At 61.6% G+C, this 17,418-nt stretch overlaps 1 non-coding gene, 1 gene segment (V, D, J or C) and 1 further gene; 2 read left to right on the top strand and 1 right to left on the bottom strand.

The window, feature by feature from the left end:
* IGH (immunoglobulin heavy locus) overlaps window positions 1-17,418 on the top strand; it is a 1,293,408-nt gene that overhangs the window by 1,227,089 nt on the left and 48,901 nt on the right.
* On the top strand, window positions 7,967-9,553 carry IGHG2 (immunoglobulin heavy constant gamma 2 (G2m marker)). The segment is given in 4 exon segments: window positions 7,967-8,260; window positions 8,653-8,688; window positions 8,807-9,133; window positions 9,231-9,553. Coding segments are annotated over 4 exon segments (980 nt in total).
* On the bottom strand, window positions 12,524-12,588 carry MIR8071-2 (microRNA 8071-2). Its single transcript, NR_107059.1, has one exon. It is a non-coding gene; the product is annotated as a microRNA 8071-2 (primary transcript).

The following is a 17,418-nucleotide window of genomic DNA, read 5'->3' as shown; positions in this document are numbered from 1 at the left end:
ACACACCCCCAGCACACACACGCACTCCCATGCGCACACTGACACACACAGGTGTGTGCAGCTGAGACACAGCCCGTTCCCAGGAAGCCCAGCCCCCATCACTGAGGGAAAGGGGCAGCACCGTAGGGCCACAGGAGTGGCAGCTGGACACAGAGCCAGGAGCTGGTGAAGGCCCAGGCCACTGAGGCGGGCTGCCGGCATGGCTGGGCGTGAAGGCCAGAAGAGGGCAGGAGGGGCTGGGGGCACTATGCCTATTGGGCCTAGGTGGGCACACGCCGGGCAGGAGAGGAACAGCCCAGCCCCTCAGACAGGAAGGGGTGGGGGCAGGGGCCATTTGTGGAGGCCAGGGCAGGGCCAGCACCCCAAGGAAAAGCAGAGCAGGGTGAGAACGGACATGGGGCTCAGAGCTGAGCAGGCCTGCTGGGCCCCAGGAGGGAGACACAGATGACCGGAGATCTCAAGGCTGGCAGAGGCCAGAGATGGAGCCCCAGCTGGGAAGCCATCCTCCTTCCTGGGGGCCCACGCTGCCCGGCCCCTCCAGCCCAGCAAGCTTGGGGCATTGGATAGAACCGGGAGAGAGCCGACCAGGCACTGAGGCCCCTGCCCCAAATGCCCACAGCCTGGGGAAAATGAGCAGGTACATGGGAGGGGCAAGTGGAGCCCCAGGCACACCCACACAGTGCACACGGCCTCACCTGGGCCGGAGGGGGCAGGAGGCTCGCCACCCCGCTGTGGTTTCTCTCCTAATCTCACCCTGGGTTTCTCTCACACTTGATGCAGATGATGTTTCTCTGACATTGTGGACTAAGAGTTGGTGCTGGAAGGGGTTAGCCATCTTGGAGATGTTGCTATGGGATGCAGGGATTTTGCGTGTGAGAAGGACATGATTATGGGGGGAACGGAGGGCAAACTGTCATGGGTTAAAATGTGTCCCCTATAAATTCATGTGTTGAAGTCCTAACCCCCAGGACCGCAGAATGTGACCTTGTCTGGAAACAGTCTTTGCAGCTGCAATCAAGTTCAGATGAGGTCACCCTGGAGTAGGGCAAGCCTCTGATCCAATATGACTGCTGTCCTCATGAAAAGGGGGAATCTGGGCACAGACAGCACGTGGGGAGAACGCCCTGTGAAGATGGTGCTGCTTCCATAAGCCAAGAGCACCAGAGACGGCCGGCAAAGCCCAGCAGCAAGGAGAGAGCCTGGGACAGAGTCTCCCATGACACAGAGGAGCCAGCCCCACCGAGGCCTCCATCCCAGATGCCCGGCCTCCAGAACCAGGACGGAATAAACGTCTGTTGTTTAAGCCACGCAGTCTGGGGTGCAGTGTTGCCAGGGCCACAGTTAACGGATACGAGTGTTGTCCTGAGCTGCCAGCCCCACAGGCTGCACGAGGCCTCCCTGCCCCAGCCCAGTGCAGACTCCCCAGCCCCCTGGGTGTGCCATGGGCAGTGGGGGGCCCCTCACTCCGTCCTCCCCCAGCCTGGGAGGTTGAGCCCATTATGAGCTCCATGGGGTGAAGCTGGAACGAGAGGCTGGGAGCCGACTGGGAGCCTGCGGCTGGAGGATGGATTTCCCCAGGGACCCACACGTGCACCTCCACCTGTCTCCTGGACATTCTCTCTGAGGGCAGGGCTGGTGCCAGCTCAGGGATCCAGCAGGGTCACAAGGGCAGGCCGGGTCCTTGTGGAGAGCACATTTAGTGGGAGGGACATGATTTCCCTTCAAAGTGCCCATTCTGGACGCTTCCCGTTCCATGCTGGACGCTTCCTCTTCCACGCTGGATGCTTCCTGTTCCACGCTGGATGCTTCCTGTTCCACGCTGGATGTTTCCTGTTACACTCTGGATGCTTCCTGTTCCACACTGGATGCTTCCTGTTCCATCCTGGATGCTTCCTGTTCCATGCTGGACATTTCCTGTTCCACTCTGGATGCTCCCTGTTCCATGCTGGATGCTTCCTGTTCCATGCTGGATGCTTCCTGTTCCATGCTGGACATTTCCTGTTCCACTCTGCATGCTTCCTGTTCCACTCTGGATGCTTCCTGTTCCACACTGGACGCTTCCTGCTCCACGCTGGACGCTTCCTGTTCCATGCTGGATGCTTCCCGTTACATTCTGGATGCTTCCCGTTCCATGCTGGACGCTTCCTGTTCCACGCTGGACGTTTCTTGTTCCACTCTGGATGCTTCCTGTTCCACGCTGGATGCTTCCTTTTCCACGCTGGACACTTCCTGTTCCGCGCTGGACACTTCCTGCTCCACACTGGACGCTTCCTGCTCCAGGCTGGACGCTTCCTGTTCCATGCTGGATGCTTCCTGTTACATTCTGGATGCTTCCCGTTCCATGCTGGACGCTTCCTGTTCCACGCTGGACGTTTCTTGTTCCACTCTGGATGCTTCCTGTTCCACGCTGGACGCTTCCCATTCCACTCTGGATGCTTCCTGTTCCATGCTGGACATTTCTTGTTCCACTCTGGATGCTTCCTGTTCCATGCTGGATGCTTCCTGTTCCATGCTGGATGCTTCCTGTTCCATGCTGGACGTTTCTTGTTCCACTCTGGATGCTTCCTGTTACATGCTGGATGCTTCCTGTTCCATGCTGGACGTTTCTTGTTCCACTCTGGATGCTTCCTGTTCCATGCTGGATGCTTCCTGTTACATTCTGGATGCTTCCTGTTCCATGCTGGACATTTCCTGTTCCACTCTGGATGCTTCCTGTTACATTCTTGATGCTTCCTGTTCCATGCTGGACATTTCCTGTTCCACTCTGGATGCTTCCTGTTACATTCTGGATGCTTCCTGTTCCATGCTGGACATTTCCTGTTCCACTCTGGATGCTTCCTGTTACATTCTGGATGCTTCCTGTTCCATGCTGGACATTTCCTGTTCCACTCTGGATGCTTCCTGTTACATTCTTGATGCTTCCTGTTCCATGCTGGACATTTCCTGTTCCACTCTGGATGCTTCCTGTTACATTCTGGATGCTTCCTGTTCCACTCTGGACGCTTCCCATTCCACTCTGGATGCTTCCTTTTCCATGCTGGACCTTTCTTGTTCCACTCTGGATGCTTCCTGTTCCATGCTGGATGCTTCCTTTTCCATTCCGGACACTTCCTATTCCATTCTGGACACTTCCTGTGCGACACCTCCTCGGGCTTTTGGTCTGCCCAGTCCCTCTGGCCTCATACCATCCCCCCTTACCTCCCACTTCCACGTTCGTCCTTCCTCAGCTCCTCCCTCTCTCTAGAGCTTCGGCCTGGCAAGGTCCCTCCTGATCTCAGTCCAGGCTCCCCCAGCACAGGTAGGAGACTTGCACCTGCCCTTGGACCTCCCCACCCTGCATGATGCCAGCATCCCCCAGGCCCCAGGGAGGCCCCATTTCTCTCTCTGCTTGTAGTCCAGTGGCCCTGGAGTGCCACTGCAACTCGGGTGTGCCCCTCGCCTCTGAGGAAGCTAAGTGCCCTAAGCTAAGCAGAGGCCATCCCCTCTGCTCAGCCCCAGGGCCCTGCCCCCTACCCCTTCCCCTCACCTGCACCACAGGCTCTGGCCAACTCTGCCCAGGCTCTGAATGGGCCCCTCTGGCTCCCCTCTGCTGCTACACTGCCCTGCACCACCTCCACTCAGCTTCAGTGTGTTCATCCACCTGTCCCACGTCCCCTCGGCCCCCAGGAGCACAGCTGGTGGCCCTGGCTCCTGGCAGCCCATCTTGTTCCTTCTGGAGCACCAGCCTCAGAAGCCTTCCTGTGCAGGGTCCACTCGGCCAGCCCTGGGACCCTCCTGGTCTCAAGCACACACATTCTCCCTGCAGCCAGACCTGCCCCTGCCTGTGAGCTCAGACCTGAGCCTTGGAACGCCTTCCCTTCTCCATCCCAGCTCGCCTTTGCCAGCTGCTCAGCGGGATGAACTCACACTCCCCTCCCTGCACCATGAGTGAGAGCCAGCTGGAGAGACGCCCAGGCCAAAGCAGCCACCAGGGCCCAGTGGGGGTCAGAAGCTTCAGGTGAGAGGCCCAGGTATTGAGAGGCTGAGACCACGGGCAGAATGGTCATAATCACTGCCAGTATCAGTCCAGCCCCAGGGACTCAGAGACAGAGAAAAGAGCAGTGAACAAGGTCCGGGCTCCCCACCTTCTCCCACGAGTATGGGGGCAGCCACCACCCCCATCCCCACACACCCATGAGGCAGCCTCGGCTGTGTCTGGACTCCCCCTTACCCTGTGACACAGAAACCACCAGAAGAAAAGGGAACTTCAGGAAGTAAGCGGTGCCGCCGGTTTCAATCCTGTTCTTAGTCTTTGCAGCGTGGAGTTCACACCCCTGGGGACCTGAGGGCCGAGCTGTGATTTCCTAGGAAGACAAATAGCAGCTGACGGCGTGGGCAAGTCTGCCCACATGTACCGCGCCAAAACAGGAAGGGCTGAGACCCCCACCTCGGTGAGTAGGGTCAGCACAGGGCAAGGGCACAGGCTCGGGAGGAGAAGGACAGAGCCTGGGTGCAGCCGTGGGCGCTCCTGGACCTCAGCTGCTGAACAGGCTACAAGAGGCTGGGGAGACGTGGGGGCAAGGCCAGCCCCACATGGAGACCCAAGCGGAGCCAGCACGGGGGAGGTGGGCAGCCTTCAGGCACCAACGCCCACCCAGTGCAAGATGACGGGGACCGTGGGCAGGGGCTTCCAAGCCAACAGGGCAGGACACACCAGAGGCTGACTGAGGCCTCCATGACGACCAGGCTGGGAGCACGAGGAACCTGACGGGATGCGGCAGAGCCGGCCGTGGGGTGATGCCAGCATGGGCAGGACCCACCTGAGCTGAGGAGGCAGTAGAACGAGGGAGGAGGAGAGGCCCCAGGTGAACGGAGGGGCTTGTCCAGGCCAGCAGCATCACTGGAGCCCAGGGCAGGGTCAGCAGTGCTGGCCGTGGGGCCCTCTCTCAGCCAGGACCAAGGACAGCAGGTGAGCCGGGAGCAGAGCAGGGAGGGTGAGTGTGGCAGCAGGACAGGAGGGTGGAAGCCAAGGAGCCCAGAGGCAGAGGCAGGGACAGGGGAGGCACAGGGGCTAGGCTCAGAGCCACCTGATGGCGCTGGGGCACCTGCTGGCGGGGAGCAGGGCTGTGGTCAGCAGCGGAGTGGAGGGGAGAGCTGTGCTGAGTGCACAGATGGGAGGAGGGAAGAGTCCAGGGAGGCCCAGAAAGGCCCAGAGTGCAGCAGGCCTGGGGCGAGGGGAGGGGTGAGGCTCCGTGCGTTCAGGGAGCTGACCCAGCAGAGCAGAGGCCACTGAGGAGCTGAGGTTCTGGAGAGGCTTCCAGAGCAGGAGCAGTGCAGGGACGGGAGGATCTGGGAGCTCACCCAGGAGGGGCACATGGGCAAGGGCAAGGGGCTCTGTTGGGGAGACCTGACTGGACACTGGGGCTGCTCCACAGCATAGGGAACAAGCCAAGTGCTGCAAAAACAAAAATGAGGCCAGAAAAACAGCCCAAACCTGGACAGAGGGTGCCAGGACAGGCAGGGGGGCAACAGTGACCTGAGTGACATTGCTGCCCGGGTTGAGGGAGGGCAGAGTGAGCAGGGGGCAGGCATTGGAGTTCAGGGTACCAGGACCGAGCAGCCACAGGTGAGCAGGGCAGGTGGGGGCAGAAGGAGCAGGGGGCACCTCCTGGAGCTCAGCAGACCAGGGCAGAGCAACTGAAGGTGAACAAGGGCAGGTGGGAGGCAGGATGAGCAGGGGGAAGACCCTGGAGCTCAGGGGACCAGGGCAGAGCAGCCTCAGGTGCCTCAGGTGAGCAGGGGCTGGTGGGTGGCAGGACGAGTAGGGGACAGCTCCTGGAGCTCAGGGGACCAGGACAGAGCATCAAGAGCTGAGCATGGCTAGTGGGAGGTGGGCGAACAGGGTGCAGCCCCTGGAACTCGGGACCAGGGCAGAGCAGCGGCAGGTGAGCACGGGCTGGTGGGAGGCAGGAGGAACAGGGGGCAGCTCTGGGACTTCAGGGGACCAGGGGAGGGCATCTGAAGGTGAACAGGGGCTGGTGGGGGCAGGAAGAGCAGGGGGAAGCCCCTGGAGCTCAGGGGACCAGGGCAGAGCAGCCACAGGTGAGCAGGGGCTGGTAGGAAGCAGGAGGAGCAGGGGACAGCCCCTGGAGCTCAGAGCACCAGGGCAGAGCACCCTCAGGTAAGCAGGGGCAGGTAGGAGGCAGGACGAGCAGGGGACAGCCCCTGGAGCTCAGGGGACAGAGGAGAGCATCAGAAGGTGAGCAGGACTGAGGCTTAGCCTCAGGGAATCAGAGCAGAGCAGCCACAGGTGAGCAGGGCCGGTGGGAGGCAGGACGAGCAGGGGACAGGCACTAGAGCTCAGGGCAAGGCAACCACAGGTGAGCAGGGCCGGTGGGAGGCATCACTCAGCTCCTAGATTTTGGCAGGAGCTGGGTAGTTGCTGGCAGCAGACAGCTGAGGGCTGGTGAAAGTGCAGTGCAGCCTCCTGGTGCCAGGAAGGGAGTGTGAGCCCATCCCACTGAGCAGTTGGCAAGGGTGAGCTGGGATGGAGAAGGGAAGGCATTCCAGGGCTCGGGGCTGAGCTCTCAGGCAGGGGCAGGTGTGGCTGCAGGGGGAATGTGTGCTTGAGACCAGGAGGGTCCCAGGGCTGGCCCCAGCGGACCCTAGGCAGGAAGGCCTCTGAGGCTGGCGCCCCAGAAGGAGCAAGATGGGCTGCCAGGAGCCAGGGCCACCAGCACAATGAAGCTGAGTGGAGGTGGTGCAGGGCAGTGTAGCAGCAGAGGGCTGCCAGAGGGGCCCATTCAGGGCCTGGGCAGAGTCAGCCAGAGCCTGTGGTGCAGGTGAGGGGAAGGGGTGGTGAGCGGGGCCCTGGGGCTGAGCAGAGGGGATGGCCTGGCTGAGGGCAGGGCACTTAGCCTCCTCAGAGGTCAGGGGCACACCCCACCTGCAGTGGGACTCCAGGGCCACTGGGCCAGCGGCAGAGAGAAATGGGGCCTCCCTGTGGCCTGGGGGTCCTGGCACCACGCAGGGTGGGGAGGGCCAAGGGCAGGTGCAAGGCTCCTACCTGTGCTGGGGGGCCTGGGTTGAGCCCAGCAGGGACCTTGCCGGGGGAAGCTCTGGAGAGAGGGAGGAGGTGGGCTGGTGGCCGAGAAGGCCAGGCCAGGGCTGGGAGGGTGAGGTTGTGGTGACTGAGCCTCCAGAAGTAATGCAGGACACTGGGAGGCAGGGGGCATCCAGGCACTCAGGGCCCTGACCTGGGCTGCTGCACACTGGGGCTAAGGGGAAAGGAGGGGAGAGGCTGAGGAGGAGGCTCCAGGAGGCTATTCCAAGGCAGGGGGTTCCGGGGCCCTGGGGCTGAAGGGCGCCGACCCTATGCAGTGTCTGGCCCCTCTGCTGCACAGAAGAAAAGGGCCTTGGAGGGCAGAGGGCAGGCTATGACCAGGGCCCTGGGCAAGTCAGGCCCACTCACTAGCGGAGGGCCACGCTGGGGCGGCAGGGTCAGGAGCTTCAGGGGACTCGGGGGACCCACGAGAAGCCATCTGAGAACAGTGTCCACTGGTCAAGCCAGGCACCCATAAAAGGCTGGAGTGGGGCCAATGGGCATGAGCCGTCCCTGAGGTGGCACCGATGGCCAGAGCTGAGGCCAAGCTAGAGGCCCTGGACTGTGCTGACTCCCGGCAGGCACAGAGCGCTGACCTGGCTGCCGAGCCCCGCCTCCTAGGCTGCAGGGGTGCCTGCAGAAGGGCACCACAGGGCCACCGGTCCTGCAAGCTTTCTGGGGCAGGCCGGGCCTGACTTTGGCTTTGGGGCAGGGAGGGGGCTAAGGTGACGCAGGTGGCGCCAGCCAGGTGCACACCCAATGCCCGTGAGCCCAGACACTGGACCCTGCCTGGACCCTCGCAGATAGACAAGAACCGAGGGGCCTCTGCGCCCTGGGCCCAGCTCTGTCCCACACCGCGGTCACATGGCACCACCTCTCTTGCAGCCTCCACCAAGGGCCCATCGGTCTTCCCCCTGGCGCCCTGCTCCAGGAGCACCTCCGAGAGCACAGCGGCCCTGGGCTGCCTGGTCAAGGACTACTTCCCCGAACCGGTGACGGTGTCGTGGAACTCAGGCGCTCTGACCAGCGGCGTGCACACCTTCCCGGCTGTCCTACAGTCCTCAGGACTCTACTCCCTCAGCAGCGTGGTGACCGTGCCCTCCAGCAACTTCGGCACCCAGACCTACACCTGCAACGTAGATCACAAGCCCAGCAACACCAAGGTGGACAAGACAGTTGGTGAGAGGCCAGCTCAGGGAGGGAGGGTGTCTGCTGGAAGCCAGGCTCAGCCCTCCTGCCTGGACGCACCCCGGCTGTGCAGCCCCAGCCCAGGGCAGCAAGGCAGGCCCCATCTGTCTCCTCACCCGGAGGCCTCTGCCCGCCCCACTCATGCTCAGGGAGAGGGTCTTCTGGCTTTTTCCACCAGGCTCCAGGCAGGCACAGGCTGGGTGCCCCTACCCCAGGCCCTTCACACACAGGGGCAGGTGCTTGGCTCAGACCTGCCAAAAGCCATATCCGGGAGGACCCTGCCCCTGACCTAAGCCGACCCCAAAGGCCAAACTGTCCACTCCCTCAGCTCGGACACCTTCTCTCCTCCCAGATCCGAGTAACTCCCAATCTTCTCTCTGCAGAGCGCAAATGTTGTGTCGAGTGCCCACCGTGCCCAGGTAAGCCAGCCCAGGCCTCGCCCTCCAGCTCAAGGCGGGACAGGTGCCCTAGAGTAGCCTGCATCCAGGGACAGACCCCAGCTGGGTGCTGACACGTCCACCTCCATCTCTTCCTCAGCACCACCTGTGGCAGGACCGTCAGTCTTCCTCTTCCCCCCAAAACCCAAGGACACCCTCATGATCTCCCGGACCCCTGAGGTCACGTGCGTGGTGGTGGACGTGAGCCACGAAGACCCCGAGGTCCAGTTCAACTGGTACGTGGACGGCGTGGAGGTGCATAATGCCAAGACAAAGCCACGGGAGGAGCAGTTCAACAGCACGTTCCGTGTGGTCAGCGTCCTCACCGTCGTGCACCAGGACTGGCTGAACGGCAAGGAGTACAAGTGCAAGGTCTCCAACAAAGGCCTCCCAGCCCCCATCGAGAAAACCATCTCCAAAACCAAAGGTGGGACCCGCGGGGTATGAGGGCCACATGGACAGAGGCCGGCTCGGCCCACCCTCTGCCCTGGGAGTGACCGCTGTGCCAACCTCTGTCCCTACAGGGCAGCCCCGAGAACCACAGGTGTACACCCTGCCCCCATCCCGGGAGGAGATGACCAAGAACCAGGTCAGCCTGACCTGCCTGGTCAAAGGCTTCTACCCCAGCGACATCTCCGTGGAGTGGGAGAGCAATGGGCAGCCGGAGAACAACTACAAGACCACACCTCCCATGCTGGACTCCGACGGCTCCTTCTTCCTCTACAGCAAGCTCACCGTGGACAAGAGCAGGTGGCAGCAGGGGAACGTCTTCTCATGCTCCGTGATGCATGAGGCTCTGCACAACCACTACACACAGAAGAGCCTCTCCCTGTCTCCGGGTAAATGAGTGCCACGGCCGGCAAGCCCCCGCTCCCCAGGCTCTCGGGGTCGCGCGAGGATGCTTGGCACGTACCCCGTCTACATACTTCCCGGGCACCCAGCATGGAAATAAAGCACCCAGCGCTGCCCTGGGCCCCTGCGAGACTGTGATGGTTCTTTCCGTGGGTCAGGCCGAGTCTGAGGCCTGAGTGGCATGAGGGAGGCAGAGCGGGTTCCACTGTCCCCACACTGGCCCAGGCTGTGCAGGTGTGCCTGGGCCGCCTAGGGTGGGGCTCAGCCAGGGGCTGCCCTCGGCAGGGTGGGGGATTTGCCAGCGTGGCCCTCCCTCCAGCAGCAGCTGCCCTGGGCTGGGCCACGGGAAGCCCTAGGAGCCCCTGGGGACAGACACACAGCCCCTGCCTCTGTAGGAGACTGTCCTGTCCTGTGAGCGCCCTGTCCTCCGACCTCCATGCCCACTCGGGGGCATGCCTAGTCCATGTGCGTAGGGACAGGCCCTCCCTCACCCATCTACCCCCACGGCACTAACCCCTGGCTGCCCTGCCCAGCCTCGCACCCGCATGGGGACACAACCGACTCCGGGGACATGCACTCTCGGGCCCTGTGGAGGGACTGGTCCAGATGCCCACACACACACTCAGCCCAGACCCGTTCAACAAACCCCGCGCTGAGGTTGGCCGGCCACACGGCCACCACACACACACGTGCACGCCTCACACACGGAGCCTCACCCGGGCGAACCGCACAGCACCCAGACCAGAGCAAGGTCCTCGCACACGTGAACACTCCTCAGACACAGGCCCCCACGAGCCCCACGCGGCACCTCAAGGCCCACGAGCCGCTCGGCAGCTTCTCCACATGCTGACCTGCTCAGACAAACCCAGCCCTCCTCTCACAAGGTGCCCCTGCAGCCGCCACACACACACAGGCCCCCACACACAGGGGAACACACGCCACGTCGCGTCCCTGGCACTGGCCCACTTCCCAATGCCGCCCTTCCCTGCAGCTGAGGTCACATGAGGTGTGGGCTTCACCATCCTCCTGCCCTCTGGGCCTCAGGGAGGGACACAGGAGATGGGGAGCGGGTCCTGCTGAGGGCCAGGTCGCTATCTAGGGCTGGGTGTCTGGCTGAGTCCCGGGGCCAAAGCTGGTGCCCAGGGCAGGCAGCTGTGGGGAGCTGACCTCAGGACACTGTTGGCCCATCCCGGCCGGGCCCTACATCCTGGGTCCTGCCACAGAGGGAATCACCCCCAGAGGCCCGAGCCCAGCAGGACACAGTATTGACCACCCACTTCCTGTCCAGAGCTGCAACTGGAGGAGAGCTGTGCGGAGGCGCAGGACGGGGAGCTGGACGGGCTGTGGACCACCATCACCATCTTCATCACACTCTTCCTGCTAAGCGTGTGCTACAGTGCCACCATCACCTTCTTCAAGGTTGGCCGCACGTTGTCCCCAGCTGTCCTTGACATTGTCCCCCATGCTGTCACACACTGTCCCCATGCTGTCCCCACATGTCCCTGACACTGTCCCCCATGCTGTCCCCACCTGTCCCGGACACTCTCCTCCGCGCTGTCTTGACCTGTGCCCAACACTGTCCCCCACGCTATCCCCCCATCCCCAACAATGTCCCCCACAGTTTCCTCCTGTCCCCTATCCCCGACACTGTCCTCCACACTGTCCCCACCTCTCCCTGTCACTGTCGCCCATGCTGCCCCCACCTGTCCCAACACTTTCCTCCAAGCTGTCCTCACCTGTCCCCAACACTCTCCCCCACACTCTCTCCACCTGTCCCTGACACTCTCCCCCATGCTGTCCCCACCTGTCCCTGATGCTGTCCTCCACACTGTCCCCACCTCTCCCTGTCACTGTCCCCATGCTGTCCCCTGTCCCTCACACTTTCCTCCATGCTGTCCTCACCTGTCCCCAACACTCTCCCCCACTGTCTCCACCTGTCCCTGACACTGTCCCCCACACTGTCCCCACCTGTCCCTGATGCTGTCGTCTGTGCTGTCCACATACTGTTGGTGACCTGGCTCTGTTCTCCAAGTTCAAGCCTCAGAGCAGGCAGTGGTGAGGCCGTGGCACCTGGGTGGCCTGAGGGGTGGGCGGGCCTTGGGGGCAGGGCTGTGGCCTCGCTCACCCCTGTGCTGTGCCTTGCCTACAGGTGAAGTGGATCTTCTCCTCAGTGGTGGACCTGAAGCAGACCATCGTCCCCGACTACAGGAACATGATCAGGCAGGGGGCCTAGGGCCACCCTCTGTGGGGTGTCCAGGGCCGCCCAGACCCCACACAGGAGCCGTGGGCCATGCTCAGCCATCACCCAGGCCACACCTGCCCCCGACCTCACCGCCCTCAACCCCATGGCTCTCTGGCCTCGCAGTCGCCCTCTGACCCTGACACGCCCCCCTTCCAGACCCTGTGCATAGCAGGTCTACCCCAGACCTCCGCTGCTTGGTGCATGCAGGGCGCTGGGGGCCAAGTGTCCCCTCAGCAGGACGTCCCTGCCCTCCGGCCCGCCAGGTGCTCACACAAAAGGAGGTAGTGACCAGCATCCCAGGCCCCCACTCAGGCAGGACCTCGCCCTGGAGCCAACCCTGTCCACGCCAGCCTCCTGAACACAGGCGTGGTTTCCAGATGGTGAGTGGGAGCATCAGTCGCCAAGGTAGGGAAGTCACAGCACCATCAGGCCCTGTTGGGGAGGCTTCCGAGAGCTGCGAAGGCTCACTCAGACGGCCTTCCTCCCAGCCCGCAGCCAGCCAGCCTCCATTCCAGGCACTCCCGTGAACTCCTGACATGAGGAATGAGGTTGTTCTGATTTCAAGCAAAGAACGCTGCTCTCTGGCTCCTGGGAACAGTCTCAGTGCCAGCACCACCCCTTGGCTGCCTGCCCACACTGCTGGATTCTCGGGTGGAACTCGACCCGCAGGGACAGCCAGCCCCAGAGTCCGCACTGGGGAGAGAAGGGGCCAGGCCCAGGACACTGCCACCTACCACCCACTCCAGTCCACCGAGATCACTCGGAGAAGAGCCTGGGCCATGTGGCCGCTGCAGGAGCCCCACGGTGCAAGGGTGAGGATAGCCCAAGGAAGGGCTGGGCATCTGCCCAGACAGGCCTCCCAGAGAAGGCTGGTGACCAGGTCCCAGGCGGGCAAGACTCAGCCTTGGTGGGGCCTGAGGACAGAGGAGGCCCAGGAGCATCGGGGAGAGAGGTGGAGGGACACCGGGAGAGCCAGGAGCGTGGACACAGCCAGAACTCATCACAGAGGCTGGCGTCCAGCCCCGGGTCACGTGCAGCAGGAACAAGCAGCCACTCTGGGGGCACCAGGTGGAGAGGCAAGACGACAAAGAGGGTGCCCGTGTTCTTGTGAAAGCGGGGCTGCTGGCCACGAGTGCTGGACAGAGGCCCCCACGCTCTGCTGCCCCCATCACGCCGTTCCGTGACTGTCACGCAGAATCCGCAGACAGGGAGACTCGAGCGGGAGTGCGGCCAGCGCCTGCCTCAGCTGTCAGGGAGGACTCCCGGGCTCACTCGAAGGAGGTGCCACCATTTCAGCTTTGGTAGCTTTTCTTCTTCTTTTAAATTTTCTAAAGCTCATTAATTGTCTTTGATGTTTCTTTTGTGATGACAATAAAATATCCTTTTTAAGTCTTGTACTTCGTGATGGGAGCCGCCTTCCTGTGTCCACGCGCCTCCTGCCCCCGGTGGGAAGCACGGTCAGGAGGAGGCTGGTCCAGCTGCACCTCGGGGGCTCCCTGCATACGCCCCCCGCCTCCTGCAGCCACACGCATTGCCCGAGCGACCCTCCCTGGCCCCTGTCGCTACATGGACCCCCGGGGTTTCTCCTCTTTTCTACATGGATGCAGTTTCTCCTCCTGCTGGGCACGGTGCTGCCTGCCCTGGTCACTCTGCGGGGGACAGGGCCTCCAGGGAAAGCTGGGTCGAGGCTGGGAGCTGGCTCAGGCTGCCCAGGCAGAGCCACAGGGAGGGCCTTCCAGAACCAACCATGGTCCGAAGCGAGAGGTGGGTGTCAGATCTGTGTGAGTCAGCTCAGGACCACAGCGGGGCGGCTCCCACAGCAGACATGGATCCTCCCAGGCCTAGAGACCAGGAATCTGAGATCAGGATGCAGGCAGGGCTGGTTTCTCTCAAGCCCTCTCTCCTTGGCTTGTAGACACCGTCTCCTCCCTGGTCCTCACATGGCCATCCCTCTGTGTGCCCGTGTCCTAAGCTTCTCTTCTTATAAGAACACACATCGGATTAGATTAGTGACCCCCTATGAACTTAATGACCTCTGTAAAGACCCCATCTCCAAATAGTCACATTGTGAGGCCAGGGATTAAGACTTGAATATATGAATTTGTAGGGGCCACGATTTAACCCATCACAGTCCAGACTCTGGCCCCCAAAATTCATGTTCTTCTCACATGCAAAACACATTCATCCTGTCTCAGCATCCCCCTGGGCACTAGGTCATGTAGCAAGGACGGATTTTCAACAGAAATAACTATTGCAACAGAAGAAAGAGTCCGGCATGACCTGGACTCACCTTCATCTGTGCAGAGGCCACAGCCTTGTAAAGGGAGGTGGTAGGGGGAGCAGGGAGGGTGCTCGGGGCTCAGTCGTCGGGGAAGGGAAAAGTTGCCCAGCGCTGGTCAGCGTCCCCGGGATGGGACCCGCTGTGTCTGTGCCGGCCACTGTTGAGGTCAGGATTCTGTCCTCCCAGAGCCTGGAGACACAGGCCCCATCCTTCCCAATGGGGACACTTCAGGGAGTGGCTCTCAGGTCCCGAGAAAGACCCTCCTGGGTCACAGGAAATGCACAGACATCGGGAACGGATAGAAGGTCGTGTGGTTGCGGCCCTCTCAGCAGATACCCTGAGAAAGGGAGGTCGGGGTTGGTCCAAACGGTGAGTTCTGGTGCACGGAGCTTTCTCAGGCAGGTGTTGACGGGGCAGGGGTCGGCCTAGGGGTACGGCCAGAAGCTGTTAGAAACTGTTAGTGTCTGCTCAAGTCTTTACAAGCCAAGGTTGAGGCCGAGTGGAGAGGCTCCGAGGAGCCTGGCTGGAACTCAGTCAAGGACAGGGTCTTGTTACTGCAGTGGCTGCGGTGGCTGCGGTGGCTGCGAAATGCCGTCGGAGTTGCCTGTGGCAGGAGAGAGACCATCTCACCCAGGAAGGAGGAGTGGTTGGATTCGTTTGTGTGGCATCGAGCAGCTGGAGCTTCACCAAACACAGAGTTGGGGACTAAATCCCCAGACTCCAGGCCCTGCCATGCCGTGGGAAGGCTCGCCACTGGAGGGTGCGCTCCAGGGGGCCTGGCCTGAACTGGGTGCTGAAGCCCAGCCCTTTAACTCTCAGGACACGCTGCTGCAGCCCCGCGGGGGGTGAGGGAGAGAGCACCTGGGGTGCAGGGCGGGCAGCTGCTGCATCACCGGCTCTATCCCAAGCCCAAGGATGGCGTCCCAGAGATGCAGGAGAGCTTTGTCCAGAGAAGGTGCCAGCCCTCAGGGACCCTGCTGGAGAGATCTCCACCCTCTGCCCTTCAAGGGGCCCTACGGGCCTCCAGGTGCTCTGGTGGGGTGGGCTCCAGTCCACTGTCTGAGGATGGACGGCCTGGCCAGGATAAGGAAAGGAAACCCAGGACGGTGCCGGGCTCCGGGTCATTCCGTGCACTGAGCAGGCTGAGTTGGGAAGAAGCAGATGCTTCCTGCAGCTGCTGCCCCCTGCAGGGCCTGGCGCCTGGACCAGGTTCCCCTGGGGAAATTGGGCCCCTCCCTGAGCCACCCGGGGCCCACCTCCCACTTTCTACCTGGGACCGAGCATCCTCCAGAGGGTCAGCCCTCCTGCGGGAACACCATGCCCAGCCCCAGGACCCTCCCTCAACTCTCCAGCAAGGCTGCCCCTGCACACCCCCCAGCAGCCCATGCTGTGATGTAACATGACATCGTGTGACATGGTGTGATGTCCTATCACAGTGTGACATCCCTGGTGTGATGTGGTGTGACATGGTGGGATGTGGTGTGACATGGTGTGATGTCCCTGGTGTGAGGTGGTGTTGGACATAGTGTGATGTGATGCGACAGATGTAACATCCCTGGTGTGATTTGGTGTGACGTAGTGTGATGGGTATGACATCCCTGGCTTGATGAGGTATAATATGAAATGATGTGGAATGGTGTGACATGATGTGATGTGATGGGACAGGGTGTGACGTCCCTGGTGTGATGTGATGTAACAGGCTGTGACATAGTGTGATGTGGGTGGTGTGACATGATGTGATGTGGTGTGATGGTGTGGGACATCCCTGGTGTGATGGGGTGTGATTAAACCTTGATTCCATGCAGCACATGTTTCTGTGAGCACAGGGTTGGGGCTAAAGTTACAGGTTAACAGCATCTCAAAGCAGAACAATTTTTCTTTGTACAGATCAAAATGGAGTTTCTTATGTGTTCCTTTTCTACATAGGCACAGTAACAGTCTGATCTTTCTTTTCCCCACAGTGTGACATGGTGTGACATTTCTGGTGTGACTCTTGTGTTGTGACATTTGTGGTCACCCCAGGATACAGAGGTCTCTGTGGCCAAGGGAAGGGGGAGAATGGAACCATCTGAGCATGTTGACCTGGAGGAATTGGTGGCCCTTGAGTCCACGAAGCCCACCCTTCCAGGTGCCCCTGCCCCACGTGACCCAAGTGGGCTTGCAGAGCAGCAAGCAGGACTCTGGTTAGACAGGAGGAAGGACCTGCCACCACGTGGCCTTGTGAGGAGACAGAGCGAGGCTGTGACCTCGGCGTCCGCCCAGCACAGGGTGCTGCTGAAGCTCCTCCGGTCCTCTCAGCAGCGGTCTCAGAGCAAGGCCCAAGGCAGGCTGAAGAGAGGGGCAGAGGGAGGATGCTGGGGAGGCAGGTGTGAGGGGACTGAGAGCCCAGGTTTCAGCTGAGCCCCTCCACAGGGAAGGAGCCTAGCTGAACACCCATCTCCCCACACGCTCCCAACCCTGCCTCTGCCCGACCACCTCCCAGAGGGCACCTCGAACCCTCTGCTACCCACACTCAGCAAGGGGTATGGTGCCCCCACCAAGCCCAGCCAGCAAAGCCTGGCACAGCCACGCCTGTGCCCACCACTCCCATGGCCAAGGTCACTGCTAACATGGCAGGACAGAGCCAGGCCTGGAGGAGACAGAACATCAGTCCCATGGGGAAGCTCCCTGCTCACACGGCAGGGCCAGGCCTGGAGAAGACAGAACACCCCATCTGGCATGGTACTCAGGCTGCACATGCCTGCCACGAACGGGGGCCACGCGACAATGCCTGCCACACATGGGGGCCACGCAACGATGCCTGCCACACATGGGGGCCACGCGACGATGCCTGCCACACATGGGGGCCACGCGACGATGCCTGCCACGCATGGGGGACACGTGACACACACATACACACACGGGCCTCACAGGCACACAAATGCTTGCGAACCCAGCACCCACCCAGCACACTCAGGCATAGGCTCCCTGGGCAGGTCACAACCTCACGCCTTGAGCTAGTCCATGTGCCAGGCCCGTCACCCACGTACTCGTCCCCGGTGCTAGCTATTGAGCCACACCGTCTTCTCTGTGGATCCCTCCCAGCCCACTCAGCACAATGGACATGCTCTCTCCCGTCCAGTGACTGCACCGGCCTCTTCCCCTCAGCACCCAAGTCTGGCCATCTCCCAGGAAACCCGGACCACCACGGGCAGGGACCACGTTCCTCACTGTCCACGTGGACCACCCCACACCTGACCCCAGATGCAGTCACACTACGTCCTGCTTCAATATTGAAAAGGGGAAAAGCTGGAGGAGGGTAAAGATGAAAGAGAAAAAAGCAAGAGGGGAGGGTCAC

The sequence above is a fragment of the Homo sapiens genome, chromosome 14, assembly GCF_000001405.40.
Source record: "Homo sapiens chromosome 14, GRCh38.p14 Primary Assembly".
NCBI lineage: Eukaryota > Metazoa > Chordata > Mammalia > Primates > Hominidae > Homo > Homo sapiens.
Note: the sequence above shows the minus strand (reverse complement) of the source record. Positions and strands in the feature narration are given on the sequence as shown.